General features: G+C 47.0%; 1 protein-coding gene and 1 pseudogene across 6 annotated transcripts in view, besides 4 other annotated features; both read left to right on the forward strand.

The window, feature by feature from the left end:
* On the forward strand, positions 214-315 carry RNU6-215P (RNA, U6 small nuclear 215, pseudogene; annotated as a pseudogene).
* Positions 3,158-3,358: a silencer, noted in NCBI's record as "peak6354 fragment used in MPRA reporter construct". NCBI's record gives its function as "represses an SCP1 promoter by STARR-seq MPRAs in K562 erythroleukemia cells {active_cell/tissue: K562}" and the evidence as "EXISTENCE:reporter gene assay evidence [ECO:0000049][PMID:32103011]".
* Positions 7,368-7,497: a silencer, noted in NCBI's record as "silent region_17908". NCBI's record gives its function as "represses an Ori minimal core promoter by ATAC-STARR-seq in GM12878 lymphoblastoid cells {active_cell/tissue: GM12878}" and the evidence as "EXISTENCE:reporter gene assay evidence [ECO:0000049][PMID:35858748]".
* Positions 10,171-10,820: a silencer, noted in NCBI's record as "silent region_17909". NCBI's record gives its function as "represses an Ori minimal core promoter by ATAC-STARR-seq in GM12878 lymphoblastoid cells {active_cell/tissue: GM12878}" and the evidence as "EXISTENCE:reporter gene assay evidence [ECO:0000049][PMID:35858748]".
* WIPI2 (WD repeat domain, phosphoinositide interacting 2) overlaps positions 10,386-17,627 on the forward strand; it is a 43,623-nt gene continuing 36,381 nt past the window's right edge. For 3 of the 6 annotated variants that reach the window (XM_006715685.2, NM_016003.4, NM_001033519.2), the window contains exon 1: positions 10,386-10,646. Coding sequence is in view for 4 of the 6 variants with exons in the window: in NM_016003.4 (NP_057087.2) it covers positions 10,573-10,646 (74 nt within the window). In the remaining 2 variants the exon portion in view is untranslated. Of the gene's footprint in view, positions 10,647-13,270; positions 13,499-17,627 lie in introns of all 6 variants that reach the window. The other 3 variants (NM_015610.4, NM_001033518.2, NM_001278299.2) reach the window with 2 other exon arrangements.
* Positions 10,831-10,880: a silencer, noted in NCBI's record as "silent region_17910". NCBI's record gives its function as "represses an Ori minimal core promoter by ATAC-STARR-seq in GM12878 lymphoblastoid cells {active_cell/tissue: GM12878}" and the evidence as "EXISTENCE:reporter gene assay evidence [ECO:0000049][PMID:35858748]".

Below are 17,627 nucleotides of genomic sequence, written 5' to 3' on the forward strand. Positions count from 1 at the left end.
ATTAAACAATATGGCACTTCTGGAAATCAGATTCCTCTCTCCCCACTCCCTGGGGTTTGCTGTTGTTGTTGCTTGTTGCTGCTGGTGTTTGTTTAGTGACTTTTCTGGACTTTGTAAAATCTGTGTTCTTTGTTCTGTGCAACCACTGAAGACTTTGCTTAGTTATCTCAGTGGTCAGCTAATAACTGGACAGAGATATTCCTAGACGTCTACTTGCTTTGGCAGCACATACACTAAAATTAAAATGATACAGAGAAGATTATCTGACCCTTGTGCCAGGATTACACACAAATTCGTGAATTATTCCATATTTTTAAAAAAATGATTTAAAAAATTAAAAAGTGATCTTTTTAAATGCTTTAGACCATTAAGTTTCCCAGCATTTGCTGACAAACTCTGTGTGTGTTGAGGCATGTTTTCAATACTCCAGCAAGCAACTTACAACTCTGCCTTAGCCTTCATTTCCTCTTGTGCAGACACTCAAGGTCAGCCAGAGGTGAGAGTTTAGGACCTTCTCAGGTCTTCCTGGGTGTGCGCACAGCCCTGTACATGCACGTAGCCCACTAGATTCTCAGAAACACAGCAGGGGTTTTTTAAAGTATCTTATTGGCATCTCTTTTCCCAGTTATTCCTTTAAAAAATTTTTGATCAAGCCAGGCGCAGTGGCTCACGCCTGTAATCCCAGCACTTTGGGAGGCCGAGGCGGGGGATCACAAGGTCAGGAGATCGAGACCATCCTGGCTAACATGGTGAAACCCCATCTCTACTAAAAATACAAAAAATTAGCCGGGTATGGATGTCTGGAGCCCATTCCTTTGGCTTCAACTTTTCAGACAGTGTTATCTTGTAACTGTCCTTGAAGTGAGCTGCTAAGCAGAGGAAAACTTGTTCTTCTTTTCTTTTTAACCCTTGCCTTGCCACGGTTACACCACATCAGGTAGTTGAAATGTTAAACAATTGCCACTGATTGTTTTGGACAAATGCCTTGGGCATAGGGCTATTTGCACAGATACTGGCAAACTCTTGGATCAAATAAAGACAAGCTTTGAGAATAGCATTTTTCAGCAAACTGGCAGACAAGTCAAATAGTGACAGTTTTTGGGGGATGGGGCTTTTAGGGAGCTCCAAGCCCAGCCTGCCTCTTCCAGTGACTGGCAAGATGCTTGTTTTCACAGCTACCATGGTTAAAAGCCAGCCTATTTTCATGGATCTGGAAGAGAGGGATGCTTTTAGAGCAAATTAAAATGGCACAAAATCAGTGTTTATACTGAGATTCAGCCCTCTTACTTGAACATATACTCTTCAAATTGTTGCAAGCCTTTAGATAATTTCCAGGTCTGAAGAAATTGATTTTGACCATTTTTGTCAGCATTCTCTTTGCTTATATGGAGGAGTGAGTTTTTGGAGATTCTTGCTCCACTATTCTGGAAGCATTTCCTTTTATCCATTCAATATTTTTTGTTTCCATTGCCATTCTTTACATTTTTAAAATTTTATTGTAAATTGACCATGTGTGTATTTATGGTGTACAACGTGATGTTATGGCTTATGAATACAACGTGGAATAATTAAATCAAGCTAATTAATACATCCATCACCTCAAATATTTATATTTTTTGGTGGTGAGAACATTTAAAATTTATTTTCTTAACAATTTTTTTTTTGTTTTAGAGACAGGGTCTCACTCTGTCACCTAGGCTGGAGTGTAGTGGCATGATCACGGCTCACTGCAGCCTCAACGTCCCAGGCTCAAGAAATTTTCCCACCTCAGCCTCTCAAGTAGCTGGGACTACAGCTGTGCGCCACCATGGCTGGCTAATTTTTAAAATTGTTTTGCCGAGATGGAGCCCCACTATATTGCCAAGGCTGGTCTCTAACTCCAGAGCTCAAGTGATCCTCCCACCTTGGCCTTCCAAAGTGATGGGATTACAGGCGTGAGCCACCACGCCTGACCTCTTAACAGTTTTGAAATGTACTATACAGTGTTGTTAGTTATATTCACCAGGCTGTGCAATAGCTCTCAAAAAAGCATTCCTTCTTTCTAACTGAGATTTTGTACCTTTCTTTTTTTTTTTTTTTTTTTTTTTTGAGATGGAGTCTCGCTCTGTCGCCCAGCCTGGAGTGCAGTGGCGCGATCTCTACTCACTGCAAGCTCCGCCTCCAGGGTTCACACCATTCTCCTGCCTCAGCCTCCCAAGTAGTTGGGACTACAGGTGCCCGCCACCATGCCCGGCTAATTTTTTGTATTTTTTACTAGAGACGGGGTTTCATCGTGTTAGCCAGGATGGTCTCGATCTCCTGAACTCATGATCCGCCCGCCTCAGCCTCCCAAAGTGCTGGGATTACAGGCATAAGCCACCGCGTCTGGCCTGGCCTTTTTTTTTTTTTTTTTTTTTTGAGATGTAGTTTCACTCTGTTGCCCAGGCTGGAATGCAATGGCGCGATCTCCGGCTCACTGCAACCTCTGCCTCCCGGGTTCAAGCGATTCTCCTGCCTCAGCCTTCCGAGTAGATAGGATTATAGGTGCAAGCCACCATGCCCAGCTATCTTTTTGTATTTTTAGTAGAGACGGGGTTTTGCCATGTTGGCCAGGCTTGTCTTGAACACCTGACCTCAAGTGATCCAACCACCGCAGCCTACCAAAGTGCTGCGATTACAGGCATGAGCCACCGTGCCTGGCTCCCCACTCTATCTTAATAGCATTCTTAGGTTGTGAGATATTCAAGCTCTTCTGTGTTTTTTTTTTGTTTTTGTTTGAGATGGAGTCTCGCTCTGTCGCCCAGGCTAGAGTGCAGTGGTGTGATCTCAGCTCACTGCAACCTCCGCCTCCCGGGTTCAAGCTATTCTCCTGCCTCAGCCTCCTGAGTAGCTGGGATTACAGGCATTAGCCACCACGCCCGGCCAATTTTTGTATTTTTAGTAGAGATGGGGTTTTACCATGTTGGTCTTGAACTCCTGACATCAGGTGAACCACCCACCTCGGCCTCCCAAAGTGCTGGGATTACAGGCATGAACCACCGCGCCCAGCCATAGCCCTTCTTTTTAAAGAAACTAATGCTCAGCGAGGTTAAGTGACTGATGTAAAGTCATATATCCCCGGAGAACCAAGCCAGGGTTTGAACCCCAACACACCTGTTTGATATGAGTGTTCTGCATGTCCAGCCCTTCCTCCACTCATGTACCCTTTCACTCCAGTCCTTAGTTCCCTCCTCCACACCAGCTGTTTATCCCACAAGTTTATTTAGGCACTGATCTGTGGGAGGATTGCTCAGCTCCGAAGCTAGCAAATAAGGAGACTCCACGCACCTGCAGATGAGGGTTCTGCTCTCAGGTTGAAAGCAGAAAGTCTCTTCTCTCTGAGCTGGGCATCGGGCCGGTCACCTGGAGGAATCCCAAAGTGATGATAGAAGGCCCTGAGCATCCTTCCTGCTCTCCATGCCATCAGGAATGTCAGCTGATGCTGTCTCCAGGTGAGCCAAGACATGCAGGTGCATTCCTGCGTCACACGCAGGTCACGTCCCTGGCAGAAACCCAGCCTGCTCTCCAACAACACCCTTCTGGCAGTTCCCAATACCACGCAGATGATAGAGCAATTAAACAAAAGCTGGATGAGTGAGCAGCGGCTCTCAGCTCCAGCCCATCCTGGCCACCAGAAAAGGAGGACCAGGGTTTAGTTCTTGAGGTGAAACCAGCCCAATTGTCCCCATGGAACTGATGTTTATGGTTTCTTTGAATAAACATAGAAATTGATCCTCCCAGTCTTTTTTTTTCTTTCTTTTTTTCTTTTTTTTTTTTTTTTTTGAGACAGAGTCTCATTCTGTCACCCAAGCTGGAGTGCAGTGGTGTAGTCTCAGCTCACTGCAATCTGCCTCCTGGGTTCAAGCGATTCTTCTGCCTCAACCTCCTGAGTAGCTGGGATGACAAGCACCCTCCACCATGCCCGGCTAAGTTTTGCATTTTTAGTAGAGATGGGGTTTCACCATGTTGTCCAGGCTGGTATCGAACTCCTGACCTCAAGTGATCCACCTGCCTCGACCTCCCAAAGTGCTGGGATTACAGGCGTGAGCCACCGCGCCCAGCCATTCACATCTCTTTTGACTGAGAGCTTTACACTAAGATGAAGGAATTTTGACAATGGGCTCATGCGTTTGGGATTCACCATGTGCCCTATTACCCAGATGGATGGTAGAGTGGCCTACAGAAGGCTACTGAAGCAAGCCTATGGAAGGCTCAGTCATGACTGCAGCTAAGAGACCACATCCTGTAAGACTGGGCTGTTGTTCAATAATATGCAGTACACACCTGCAAACCAAGAGTGGAGGTGGTAGTTTTTCCTTGCATATAACATCTAATAACTCACTTAAGGAACTTTTGTTTTCATCTACCCAACTCAGGGCTTACTGGAGTTTGAGATCCTAACACACAAGGAATTCGCTTTTTTTTTTTTTTTTTTTGAGATGGAGTTTCGCTCTTGTTGCCCAGGCTGGAGTGCAATGGTGTGATCTTGGCTCACCACAACGTCCGCCTCCCGGGTTGAAGTGATTCTCCTGCCTCGGCCTCCCGAGTAGCTGGGATTACAGGCAGGTGCCACCACGCCCGGATAATTTTGTATTTTTAGTAGAGATGAGGTTTCTCCATGTTGGCCAGGCTGGTCTCGAACTACTGACCTCAGGTGATCCACCCGCCTCAGCCTCCCAAAGTGCTGGGATTACAGGTGTGAGCCACCTCACCCAGGCCATGGAATTCCCTGTTTTATCCCAGGGAACAGAGTTGTGGTTCTGGTCCATTGGAAACTGAGTCTACTTCGCGGTCATTTTGGGATCTTCATTCACTGAACCAATAGAGAGAGAAGGAGTTTCTGTTCCAGCTGGGATCATAGATTGCTATGAGCAAGGGAAAGTTGGGTTGCTGCTCAGAATGAGATCGAGGAGAACTATGTCTAGAACCCCGAGGATTCACTCAGGCACCTCTTTATGTATCTTCATTCACCAATAACCATGGCGGGTGAGACATGACTATACAGTGGTAAGTAAAGAAAGAGACTTTTTTTTTTTTTTTGAGACGGAGTCTTGCTCTGTAGCCCAGGCTAGAGTGCAGTGGTGCAATCTCGGCTCACCACAACCTCCGCCTCCTGGGTTCAAACGATTCTCCTGCCTCAGCCTCCCAAGTAGCTGGGACCACAGGCGCCCGCCACCGCGCCTGGCTAATTTTTTGTATTTTTAGTAGAGACGGGGTTTCACCATGTTAGCCAAGATGGTTTTGATCTCCTGACCTCATGATCCGCCCTCCTCGGCCTCCCAAAGTGCTGTGATTGGCAGACTTATTAAAGAAAGTATGAAAGTACATTACCAAGCCAGGTGCGGTGAATCACGCCTGTAATCTCAGCACTTTATTATGAATGCAGTAGCTATGAACATTCTTATTTATGTCTTTTAGTGAAAATATGCACTAATTCTACTGTATATGCACCTAGAAATGCATATACAGTGCATTTGGCCGAGTCAAAAGGTATATATATGTTTAATTTTAGTAAATAGACCGTGCGTGGTGGCCTGAGGTCAGGAATTCAAGACCAGCCTGACCAACAAGGTGAAACCCCGTCTCTACTAAAAATACCAAAATTAGCCGGGCGTGGTGGTGGGTGCCTGTAATGCCAGCTACTTGGGTGGCTGAGACAGGAGAATCGCTGGAACCTAAGAGGTGGAGGCTGAGGTTACAGTGAGCCAAGATTGTGCCACTGCACTCCAGCCTGGGCGACAAGAGCAAAACTCCATTTAAAAAACAAAAAAACAAAAAACAAAAACAAAACTTTAGTAGGTAGTGCCCAAGTTTTCCAAAGTGGTTGAAACAATTTAGACTTTCATCTTGCAGTGAGCCGAGATCGTGCCACTGCACTCCAGCCTGGGCAACAGAGCGAGACTCCATCCACAGTGTATGAGAGTTCCAATTGCGCTCTATGGTCATCCACACTTGGGATTGTCAGTTGCTTTAATTTTAGCCAATTTGGTGGATGCTTAGTAATACCTCATTTGCCCTTAATTTGCATTTTCTTTTTTTGTTTGTTTGTTTGGTTTTTTTGAGATGGAGTCTTGCTCTGTCATCCAGGCTGGAGTGCAGTGGTGTGATCCCGGCTCACTCCAACCTCTGCCTCCCAGGTTAAAGCGATTCTCCTGCCTCAGCCTCCCGAGTAGCTAGGACTATAGGTGCCTACCACCAGGCCCAGCTCATTTTTGTATTTTTAGTAGAGACAGGGTTTCACCGTGTTGGCCAGGCTGGTCTCGAACTCCTGACCTCAGGTGATCCTCCCACCTTGGCCTCCCAAAGTGCTGGGATTACAGGTGTGAGCCACCACACCCAGCCTTAATTTACATTTTCTTAATGAGTATTAACGATGACCACCTTTTCAGGTGCTCATTAACATTCTGATATCCTCTTTTGTGAAGTGCTTGTGTTCAAGTATTTTGCCCAGTTAAAAAAAAAAAAGCTGTCTATATTTTTCTTATTGATGCGCAGAAGTTCTGGGTATAATTCCTTTGTCAAAAATATATATATTGCAGGCCGGGCGTGGTGGCTCATGCCTGTAATCCCAGCACTTTGGGAGGCCAAGGCGGGCAGATCACGAGATCAGGAGATTGAGATCATCCTGGCCAACACAGTGAAACCTCATCTCTACTAAAACACAAAAAATTAGCCTGGTGTGGTGGCACACGCCTGTAGTCCCAGCTACTTGGGAGGCTGAGGCAGGGGAATCGCTTGAACCCTAGAAGCAGAGGTTGCAGTGAGCCGAGATCGCACCACTGCACTCCAGCCTGGTGACAGAGCAAGACTCCGTCTCAAAAAAAAAAAAAAAAAAAAAAAAAAAAAAAATATATATATATATATATATATATATATATATATATAAAATAAATATATGTATCTCTAAATCTTGCCTTTTCTTCCTCTCTTAATGGTCTCTTGAAAATAGCCCATTCTTCTCAATGTTGATGAAGGCCAATCTCTCATTTTGTGGTTACTACTTTTTTTCTTTTGAGACAGAGTCTCGCTCTGTCACCCAGGCTGGAGTGCAGTGGTGCGATCTCAGCTCACTGCAACCTCCACCTCCCGGGTTCACGCCATTCTCCTGCCTCAGCCTCTTGAGTAGCTGGGACCACAGGCACCAGCCACCACACCCGGCTAATTTTTTGTATTTTTAGTAGAGACGGGGTTTCGCCATGTCAGCCAGGATGGTCTCGATCTCCTGACCTCGTGATCTGCCTGTCTTGGCCTCCCAACATGCTGGATTACAGGCGTGAGCCACCGCGCCCGGCCTGTGGTTACTACTTTTTAAAGAACTTGTTTTGTTTTGAGACAGGATCTTGCTCTGTCACCCAGGCTGGAGTGTAGTGGCGCGGTCATAGCTCACTGCAGGCTTGAACTCCCAGGCTCAAGCCATCCTCCCGCCTTAGCCTCTGAAGGAGCTGGGACCACAGGCGCACACCACCACGCCCAGCTAATTTTTGTATTTTTGTAGAGACCGGGTTTCCCCATGTTGCCTAGTCTGGTTTCAAACTCCTGGACTCAAGCAATCCGCCTGCCTCAGCCTCCCAAAGTGTTGGGATTACAGGCATGAGCCAACACATCCGCTTTAAAGTACCTGTTTAGACTACTTTGTTTATCCCAAAATCATGAAGGCATTCTCGTTTCCTTCTAGAAATTCTATTGTTTTTACCTCTCACATCTAGGACTGTAATCCATCTCAAATTAATTTTTGAATATGGTGTGAGGTAGGGGTACTTATTCCTTTTATTGAAAAGACCATCCTTTCCTCAATGATTTCCAATGCGTTCTTGACCCTATAATTAGAATTAACTTCTGTAAGCACTCATTAGATCGTTCCACTTTCCTGCCTGTCTTTAACGGCAGACCATTGCTCTTATGGACAATAATCAGATAATGGTCAGTTCCTTGCGTAACAATACGCAGCTTGATCTGGCCACCTCCTGTCTCTCCTGCCAAATCTTGCCTTGTGTCTGCCTTTCCACTCTGAACATAGAGTTCTTTGGACAGGTCACACCCTCATCCTCAAGCCCTTCCCATATAGAGTGTTTTCATGCCCTTAGACTAGTTACTCAAACTTCAGGTCTCATCTCTTCCAGGAGCCTTCTCAATAGCACAGTCCCTGTCCCTTAAATATAGGTTGTGTGACTTCTATATATGCATTCATGGTCAGGCACAGTGGCTCATGCCTGTAATCCCAGCACTTTGGGAGGCCGAGGCAGGCAGATTACCTGAGGTCGGAAGTTCGAGACCAGCGTGACCAACATGGAGAAATCCCGTCTCCACTAAACATACAAAAATTAACTGGGCGTGATGGTGCACACCTGTAATCCCAGCTACTCGGGAGGCTGAGGCAGGAGAATCACTTGAACCCGGAAGGTGGACGTTGCAGTGAGCCGAGATTGCGCCATCGCACTCCAGCCTGGTCAAGAAGGTGAAATTCCGTCTCAAAAAAAAAAAAAAAAAAAAAAAAAATATATATATATATATATATATATATATATTCGCTCATTGTACCCCCGAGTTTCTAATTATATTTATTTATTTTATTTTTTGAGATGGAGTCTCACTGTGTCGCCCAGGCTGGAGTGCAGTGGCATGATCTCGGCTCACTGCAGCCTTCACCTCCTGGGTTCAAGCAATTCTCCCATCTCAGTCTCCTGAGTAGCTGGGATTACAGGGCCGTGCCACCACAACTGGCTAATATTTTACATTTTTCCTAGAGACAGGGTTTCACCATGTTGGGCAGGCTAGTCTCAAACTCATGACCTCAGGTGATCCACCTGCCTCAGCCTCCCAAAGTGCTGGGGTTACAGGCGTGAGTCACCATGCCCAGCCTATTTTATTTTACTTTTTAGATGGAGTCTCACTCTGTCGTCCGTCCAGGCTGGAGTGCAGAGGTGCAATCTCGGCTCACTGCAACCTCCACCTGTGGGGCTCAAGCAATTCTCCCACCTCAGCCTCCCTAGTAGCTGAGATTACAGGTGCCCACCACCATACCCAGCTAACTTTTGTACTTTTAGTAGAGACGGGGTTTCACCATGTTAGCCAGGCTGGTCTGGAACTCCCGACCTCAGGTGATCCACCCGCCTCAGCCTCCCAAAGTGCTGGGATTACAGGTAAGAGCCACCACACCTGGCCTTCTATTTATATTTAAATATCTCCCCATTATAACTTCTCTGAGGGAAAGGAGGAGGCCTATTTAGTTCACATGAGAGGTGCGTCCTAAATACTGTTGAATGAATGAATAAATTTAAGGGACGATTCTGTCCCAGGAACCCAGACAGTATGGACCTTGGAGAAACAGGACGTTTCCAGTCTCAGATCTAGCACTTGGCTAATAATTATTTCTGAGCCTCGATTTTCAAATCTGTAAAATTAAGATATACTATTCTCTACTTAGGATTGTAATGGGCATCAAATAAGATAATGTGGCTGGGCACAGTGGCTCACATCTGTAATCCCAGTACTTTGGGAGGCCGAGGTGGGAGCATCACTTGAGGCCAGGAGTGCGAGACCAGCCTAGGCAACAGAGTAAGACCCCCCCCGCCCCCACCCCATCTCTACAAAAAACTTAAAAGTTAGCAGGGTGTGGTGGCATGCATTTGTGGTCCCAGCTACTTGGGAGGCTAAGGTGGGAGGATCGCTTGAGCCTGAGTTTGAGGCTGCAGTGAGCTGTGATTGAGCCTCTGCACTCCAGCCTAGGCAACAGAGCGAGACCTTGTCTTTCAAAATAATAAAATGATAAGGTAATGCGCAGAAGCATTCAGCACAGTGATTGGCACATGGAGGGCCCATTGGGGTGTTTTTGTTTTTGTTTTTGTTGTTGTTTGAGACAGAGTCTCGCTCTATGGCCCAGGCTGGATGGATTGCAGTGGCATGATCTCGGCTCACTGCAATCTCCGCCTCCTGGGTTCAAGCGATTATCTTGCCTCAGCCTCCCGAGTAGCTGGGATTACAGGCGTACACCACCAAGCCCGGCTAATTTTTCTTGTATTTTTAGTAGAGACGGGGTTTCACCATGTTGGCCAGGCTGGTCTCGAACTTCTGATCTTAGGTGATCCGCCCGCCTTGGCCTCCCAAAATGCTGGGATTACAGGCCACCGTGCCTGGCCATTGAGTGTTATTAAGAGGAGGGTACGCAGAAAACAGACTCCCGCCAGCTCTGCCCCATGCGCATGAGCGGCCGCCGCTCGCCCTCAGCCAGGCCCAGCGCGCCCCGACGCGTCCCCACGCCTGCGTGATCCACCGGAACCCAAGCCCAGGCAGGCGGTGAGAGGGCGGGGCCTCCGCAGTGCGACTGCGCCGCTCGAGGCCGTGCGTCGCGGGGGCGGGGCCGCGCAGGCGTACCGGGTGCCCCGGCTCTGGAGCATAAACAAGAGCGGGGACGGGATGAGGCGGCGGTTGATCCCAGGGTGGCGAGTGGCGGCGACCGAGGCGGCGAGCGGGGCCCGGCGCCGACCCTGAGTGCAGCCTGACCCGCCCTCGCGCGCGCGCCCTCCCCGGCCGGGCCCACTCGCCGCGCGCCCAGCCATGAACCTGGCGAGCCAGAGCGGGGAGGCCGGCGCCGGCCAGCTGCTCTTCGCCAACTTCAACCAGGACAACACGTAAGGCCGGGGTCGGGGGTCGGAGTCGGGGTGAGGCCAGGGTCGGACCCGGGCTAGGGGGAGGGCCTCGCTGCCAAGCTCGGCGGCGTCGCAGGCTCGGCCTCCCCGCGGGCCAAGGCGCGCAGAGGCGTCCCCAGGGGCGGGCCCGGGGCGTGCAGGGAGGGGCGCCCTCCAGGGAGACCCTCGGGTGCTGGCCTGGAGCTGCGGTCCCGGAGCGGGAGAGGTGGTGGAGAGGGGGCTGCTTTCACCCTCTTGCGGGGAGGCCCCCTGGCTTCAGACTTAACTACTTCTCGCAAAGTTGGGGCCGAACTTTGGGGCTTGACTTGTCTTGGCCGCCTGTGGAGCGCTGGGTGTGGGTCGCTTCCTCTCCTCTCGTCTCCTCTTCCCGCTGCTTGCTCAGCGTCTCCCACTCACTCTCCTTTGAATCAGGCCCTTCTCCTTGTCTTTTCATCGTCTTAAGACCCTTCTCTCTCTCTTGATTTTCTTTTCTTCGTTTCTCACTGTTTTTTTGTTTGTTTTTGTTTTTTGGGGTTTGTTTTGTTTTGAGACAGAGTCTTGCTCTGTTGCCCAGGCTGGAGTGCAGTGGTGCCATCTCAGCTCACTGCAACCTCCGCCTCCTGGGTTCAAGCGATTCTCCTGCCTCAGCCTCCCGAGTAGCTGAGACTACAGGCACGCGCCACTGTGCCCAGCTAACTTTTTTGTATTTGTAGTAGAGACAGGGTTTCACCATGTTGGTCAGGCTGGTCTCAAATTCCTGACCTCAAGTGATCCGCCCACCTCAGCCTCCCAAAGTGCTGGGATTACAGGTGTGAGCCACCGTGCGCGGCCCTCCCTGTTCTTTTTGGGACATCAACTTTGATGTCTTCTCCAGCAAGTAACAAACTTAGCAATAACCTTGGCATCTGACCTAGCTAGGGAGAAACTGAGCCAAGAGAGGCGTTACGGACCAGTGCCCCAGGAGTCTCAGAGCTCCAGCGGGTGGGTCATCCTCAGGGCAAGAGAAGGCCTTAATGCCAGCCCGTGCATTCGGAACGCTGTTTGTCCCCACTGATACGGGTTGGATGCTGCCTGGGAGGAGGACTTGTGGGGATGGTTAATAGATGAGCGAGCTTTCTGGAGAGAGAAGGGTGAGTTATGGGGTTGGCAGGGAGGAGAGCCATCTTGGAAGTGAGTAAGAGGAAGTGAGGAAAGAGAAGGAGTGGGGCATTTGGCATCTTACTAAGTCATTGGTTGAGTTGTTACTGGCTGAGTGGAATTAACATAGCAGAAGGTAAGATTCTTTAGGAAATTAAAAGTGAATTGTAGAATGGACAACACTCAGTGGGTGGTGTACAGCAGGCACTCAATAGCACCTCCCCAAAGCTGTGAAGACAGTCGCACAGTGGGACTGTATTGAGAGTCGGAAGGGGCAAATCACCTCATCCAACTACAGATGAGGAAATCCTTCCGAAAGGCTCCAAGCTGGTCTGGGTTTTGGAATTGGTTAATAGTGGAGCGGGGGCAGGAGTGGAATCTCGCCTCCTGAGCTCTCTTCCAATGTTCTTTCTGCTCTGCCATGCTGTTTTTTTTTCTGTTTACAGAGTAGAATTCTGAAGACAGTGAATTTAGAAATAATAGCATAACAACGTGTAAAGATGAAAACTCCCAAGTACTGTAGCGTTCTGTGTGACCAAAAGCCAGAACAACAAACAATTCGGACAACCTGTTGCAGTTCAAGTGGAATAGACTATGTTAATCCAGATAGGGAAAAGGACACATCCCAAACCAATTCTAATTTGGTTTTTAAGCCCAAGGCCACAGTATTTTGAGACCAGTAAGAAATGGTAGTAGTAGTAGGGTGGTTTATGCCTTGTATAAATTAGAGAGTTTCCAAAACATTGTCGGCCACTCTTTCAGTTTTTCACTAATTATTTCTATCAGAATGAAATCAAATAGAGAAAAGCATTCTCTTTTACTGTTACTTCAGCTGGACTGCCATGTTCCCTGTGTCACAGAAGAGTGTCACTCTGGCCTGAAATAGGACCTTTTCACACTTGGACATTTTCACACTTACCCACTTCTCCATGCTCCCCGAAGTTATTACAGTTCAAGAGATTTCTGTTACTTTGAGATTTCATAACTTTGACTTGCCAGAGAGACCTTGATGTAGTGTAAACCTAAATTGGAATGAATAGTAAGCTAGGATTATACTAGAAGTTGACTGGGCTAAAATGACGGTAATTTGTTTTAAATCTACACTTGAAAGAAATAGAGAAGTTCCCGGAGAGAGCTTTTATGGCTTATACCTTTTCCTCCCTTCTTAATCTCCAGAATTTATTGAGGAGCACAATTTTTAGCAAGTGAAAGAATGACCGTCTAGAACTCACATTTACTGTATGCAGTGAGAAAATTTGGAAGCCAGTTCACTTACTAGAATATATATGTTATAGGGTCATTTCCCTTTTTTTTGTCTTTTAAATTCTTTTTGTATTTGTTACATACCAAACTATAACTGTCCTGCCTTTCTTTACTGGTAATATGATTTCCAATGTCGTACTTTTTCATGATTCCTATCCTAAAAGTGTGCATAAGTTTTATTTGTTTTTTACCATTTGTTTTTTGTTTTGTTTTGTTTTTTTACCTAGAGAAGTGAAAGGGGCATCAAGAGCAGCTGGTCTTGGCCGTCGCGCTGTTGTCTGGTTAGTTCCAACCCTGGTTTCTGAAAGTATCACCTTGGAAGGCTTATGTTAGAGGACTTTTTTGGCTTTTTGAAATTGCAGTGAACCAGTTAATAAGTGGGAGAGGATCACTTGAATCTGAAATGGAAATATCAAGGACTACATTTTTCCAGTGGATACCACAGCTTGTGGGAAGTTAGTGATGTAGCAATGTCTGTTTTAAATGCCATGTCTAAAAGGGATGGAATGAAGAAAGGGACTTGACTTTCCAAGTCTTGTGTTTGTAGAATTGATGTTATGAAGTGTGTGGAGACAACAGGAGAAACCTGTTGTTTTCTTCCACCATGTCTCTTCTAGGTTATGCTTATTGTGCTGGGAAGGTACTGCTCTCCTCTCTTTGTTCATCTGTAAATCAAGGGTTTGGGTTTTTGTTTTTGAGATGGAGTCTCACTGTTGCACAGTTTGAAGTGCAGTGGCATAGTTATAATGATCATAGCTTACTGCAACTTTGAGTTCCTGGGCTCAAGCGGTCCTCCTGCCTCAGCCTCCCGAGAAACCGGGACTACAGGCGTAGGCCCCACACCTGGCTAATTTTTTTTTTAGTTTTTGTAGGCACAGGGTCTTGCTATGTCGACCAGGCTGGTGTTGAACTCCTGGCCTCATGCGATCTTCCTGCCTCAGCCTCCAGAGCATTGGGATTACAGGTGTGAGCCGTTGTGCCCGGCCTGAAGATGGTTTCTAAGATCCTTCACCCTTAAAGTTTTAAGTAATTCTGCCTGCTATGCAAAGGATATGTTTGAGGAGGGCAGGGGGTGACTTAGGAGGATATCATCCAACAGCAGTGACCAGTGGGAAGGAGACTGTCTCGCCATCAGGACTTGTGTGACCCACAGGACGTGCATCATGCAGCCAAGGGAGAACTTAGGTGACGCCCAGTTTCTGGCTTGGGTTCTGGGTGAATGTGATAACATCGTGGTGAAAAAGCCGAGAAGGAGAGAACTCTGCTTGGGGATACTGATGAGTTGGAAAGGCCACAGGGATATGGAGGTGGAGGATGTGAGGGGGAGCGGGGATGGGGGTGGGCTGTCCATAGCCCTGAAAGAGAGGGCACCAGGGCCTCCCAGGTCTGGGCTGGCAGCCACAGTTGAGGTTGCTTTTGGTTTACAGTGTCGGGCTCTATCCGCCTAAGCACGCAATCAAGTATGGCTTCTCCGCAAAGATGATGAAGAAGGAGAGTCTTTACGGACTGACGATTAGGGAAGGGGGAGAAAAGGAAAATAAGCAAAAAATCTGACTCACATCTTCATTTTTGAGTGGCAGTCACTGTCTCTTTGATGTTCAATGTTCAAGTTTAAATTCATTGACGGAGACTTTCAGTTAAAAATGATGGATCAAACATAAGCATTTATTTTGGTTCCATCCCCAGACCCTAATAAAATGTTAATCAGTAAAATGTCAAAAATATACATTTTCTAATTTTAAACATTTCTTAATTTTTTATTTTTGTAGAGATGGGGTTTCACTTTGTTGCCCCAACTGGTCTCAAACTCCTGGCTTCAAGTGATCCTCCCGCCTGGGTAGCTCAGATTGCAGACGCAAGCCACCACCCTTGACCTCAAAAAGATATTTTAAAAGGCTTAAACTCATACGATAGAAAGAATGAGAAAGGAGATATTAGCCAGTTTGGAAGCTAGCGAGTGGTAAAGGAAGTGGGATCTCAAATTGCTAGTGAAGAAAGCAGAGAACCAACCTAGTTTAAACTGCAGAATCCCCTCCAGGCTCAGGAATGGGCAGGCCAGGGCTCCAGAGGCGGGCTTGTGGGGCCGTGAAATGAGGAGGATGTGTTCAAGTGCGTTTAAAAAGCAGTGACTCTGTCCTTCCCTAGAGAAGGACAGGCCTACTCTCTGGGGAGGGTAGAGCAGGGTCTCTGGGTTTGGGCACCAGGCACAGTTGAAGGTGGGGATACTGGCAAAATGGGGGATTGAGCCAATACATATTTTTTTGGTTGTGATTTGCTAGTTTTCCCCTTTGTCAATGAAAGAGCCCACTAATGGGGACAGGCACAGTGGCTCACGCCTGTAATCCTGGCACTATGCAAGGCCAAGGTGGGAGGATCCCTTGAGTTCAGGAGTTCAAGACCAGGTTGGGCAACACAGGGAGACCTCGACTCTACACAAAACAAAAATTAGCCGGGTGTGGTGGCACGCGCCTGTGGTCCCCAGCTACTCGGGAGGCTGAGATGGGAGGATCCCTTGAGCCCAGGAGGTTGGGGCTGCAGTAAGGCGAGATCGCACCACTGTGCCCCAGCCTGGGTGGCAGAGTGAGACCCTGTCTCAAAAAAATAAATAAAAATAAATAAATCCCACTCTGTTGACTTAAAAATAAATAAATAAACATTTTTTGGCAATAAAGCTATGTATTAGGGAAAATCTCCTACTTACCTGTTGCTCTGCCTTTCCCATTAGTATGTCTGCCATTTTATGGTCAGGTCAATTTTGAAATTGTTTAAAGCCAAATCTCCAAAGGGGTGTTGAACTTGATTGTTGATGTTGAGACGAAAATATCAATCATATTTATATTTAATACCATTCTTTAAAAATACTCATCTAGGCCAGGCACGGTGGTCACGCCTGTAATCCCAGCACTTTGGGAAGCCAGGGCAGGTGGATCACCAGGTCAGGAGTTCGAGACCAGCCTGGCCAAGATGGTGAAACTCCATCTCTACTAAAAATACAAAAATTAGCCGGGTGTGATGGTGGTCACCTGTAATTCCAGCTGCTCGGGACGCTGAGGCAGGAGAATCACTTGAACCGGGAGGCTGAGGTTGCAGTGAGTTGAGATCACATCACTGCACTCTAGCCTGGGCAACAGAGCAAGACTCCATCTCAAAAAAAAAAACTTATCTTTTGCTGGGCGTGGTGGCTTACACCTGTAATCCCAGCACTTTGGGAGGCTGAGGCAGGTGGATCACCTGAGGTCAAGAGTTCGAGACCAGACTGACCAACATGGTGAAACCCCATCTCTACTAAATACAAAAAATTTGCTGGGCACGGTGGTGCATGCCTCTAATCCCAGCTACCTGGAACTACCTGGAAGGCTGAGGCAGGAGAATCGCTTGAACCCAGGAGGTGGAGGTTCCAGTGAGCCGAGATTGTGCCATTGCACTCCAGCCTGGGCGACAGAGCAAAACTCCATCTAAAAAAAAAGAAAAACCAACTTATCTTTACTGATAAAGTGTACTCATACTATGGTATATATATCTCAAAAAATATTTGGAATATTTTTGTTTCCCTTTCTTAACGGATTGGAATGCACAGTTTTGTAAACTGTGGGGTTAAACTTCTAGCTGAGGTATTTAATATCCTAAATCAGCTTCCAAATATCTGAACTTGATTGGCAAAGTCCAGTTTTAACAAATGCTGTGTGTAGGGAGCACAGCAGAGAACTGGGATGTCTAACCCAAGGATCAGGGACTAAGGCTCGTTAATTTTGCCCATGGGAGAAGCCCCCTCGAAGCTCATTTTATACATAATGCTAATAAGCTTGGTGATTTGGTTTCCAAGTCACCAAGAAATTAGGAAGGACGGGCTGTTAATGACGGCAGGATGGTCACGAGGAAAAGTGACAACTGTCGGCAAAACAAGAGATGGAAAAATATTTTTATAAACTCAGTGCTACAGGCCGGGCATGGTGGCTCACACCTGTAATCCCAGCACTTTGGGAGGCCGAGGCAAGTGGATCACCTAAGGTCAGGAGTTCAAGACCAGCCTGGCCAACATGGTAAAACCCCATCTCTACTAGAAATACAAAAATTAGCCGGGCGTGGTGGCAGGCACCTGTAATCCCAGCTACTTAGGAGGCTGAGGCAGGAGAATTGACTGAACCCAGGAGGCAGAGGTTTCAGTGAGCCAGGATCGCGCTGCTGCACTCCAGCCTGCATGACAGAGCGGGACTCCGTCTCAAAAAACAAAAAAAAAAAAAAAAAAAAAAAAAAAACCATAAAATAAATAAACTTAGCACTACAGTCTGGCTGTTTGATATGGGGTACACCAAACCCTCAACTCGAAAGAACTTGTCATCCCTTGTTTTAAGGACACAGGAAGGTATACAATTTAAGAACAATTTGTTTTTTTAATCAGAAAATGGGAGTGGGGGAGTCCTGCTTAAAATAGCAACCCTTAGTTATCTGGAAAATGTTTTCCTGAACATCAGTTTCCCGAAAGTTCTGGGTTGCTGAGATTTTGTTTTAGTTTTAGCCTAGGGATATTACTCTATTCTTCTTGGTTCTTTTATTAATTTTCAAAATAGTTACAGGTAATAATAC

This window comes from Homo sapiens, chromosome 7 (genome assembly GCF_000001405.40).
Source record: "Homo sapiens chromosome 7, GRCh38.p14 Primary Assembly".
Lineage (NCBI taxonomy): Eukaryota > Metazoa > Chordata > Mammalia > Primates > Hominidae > Homo > Homo sapiens.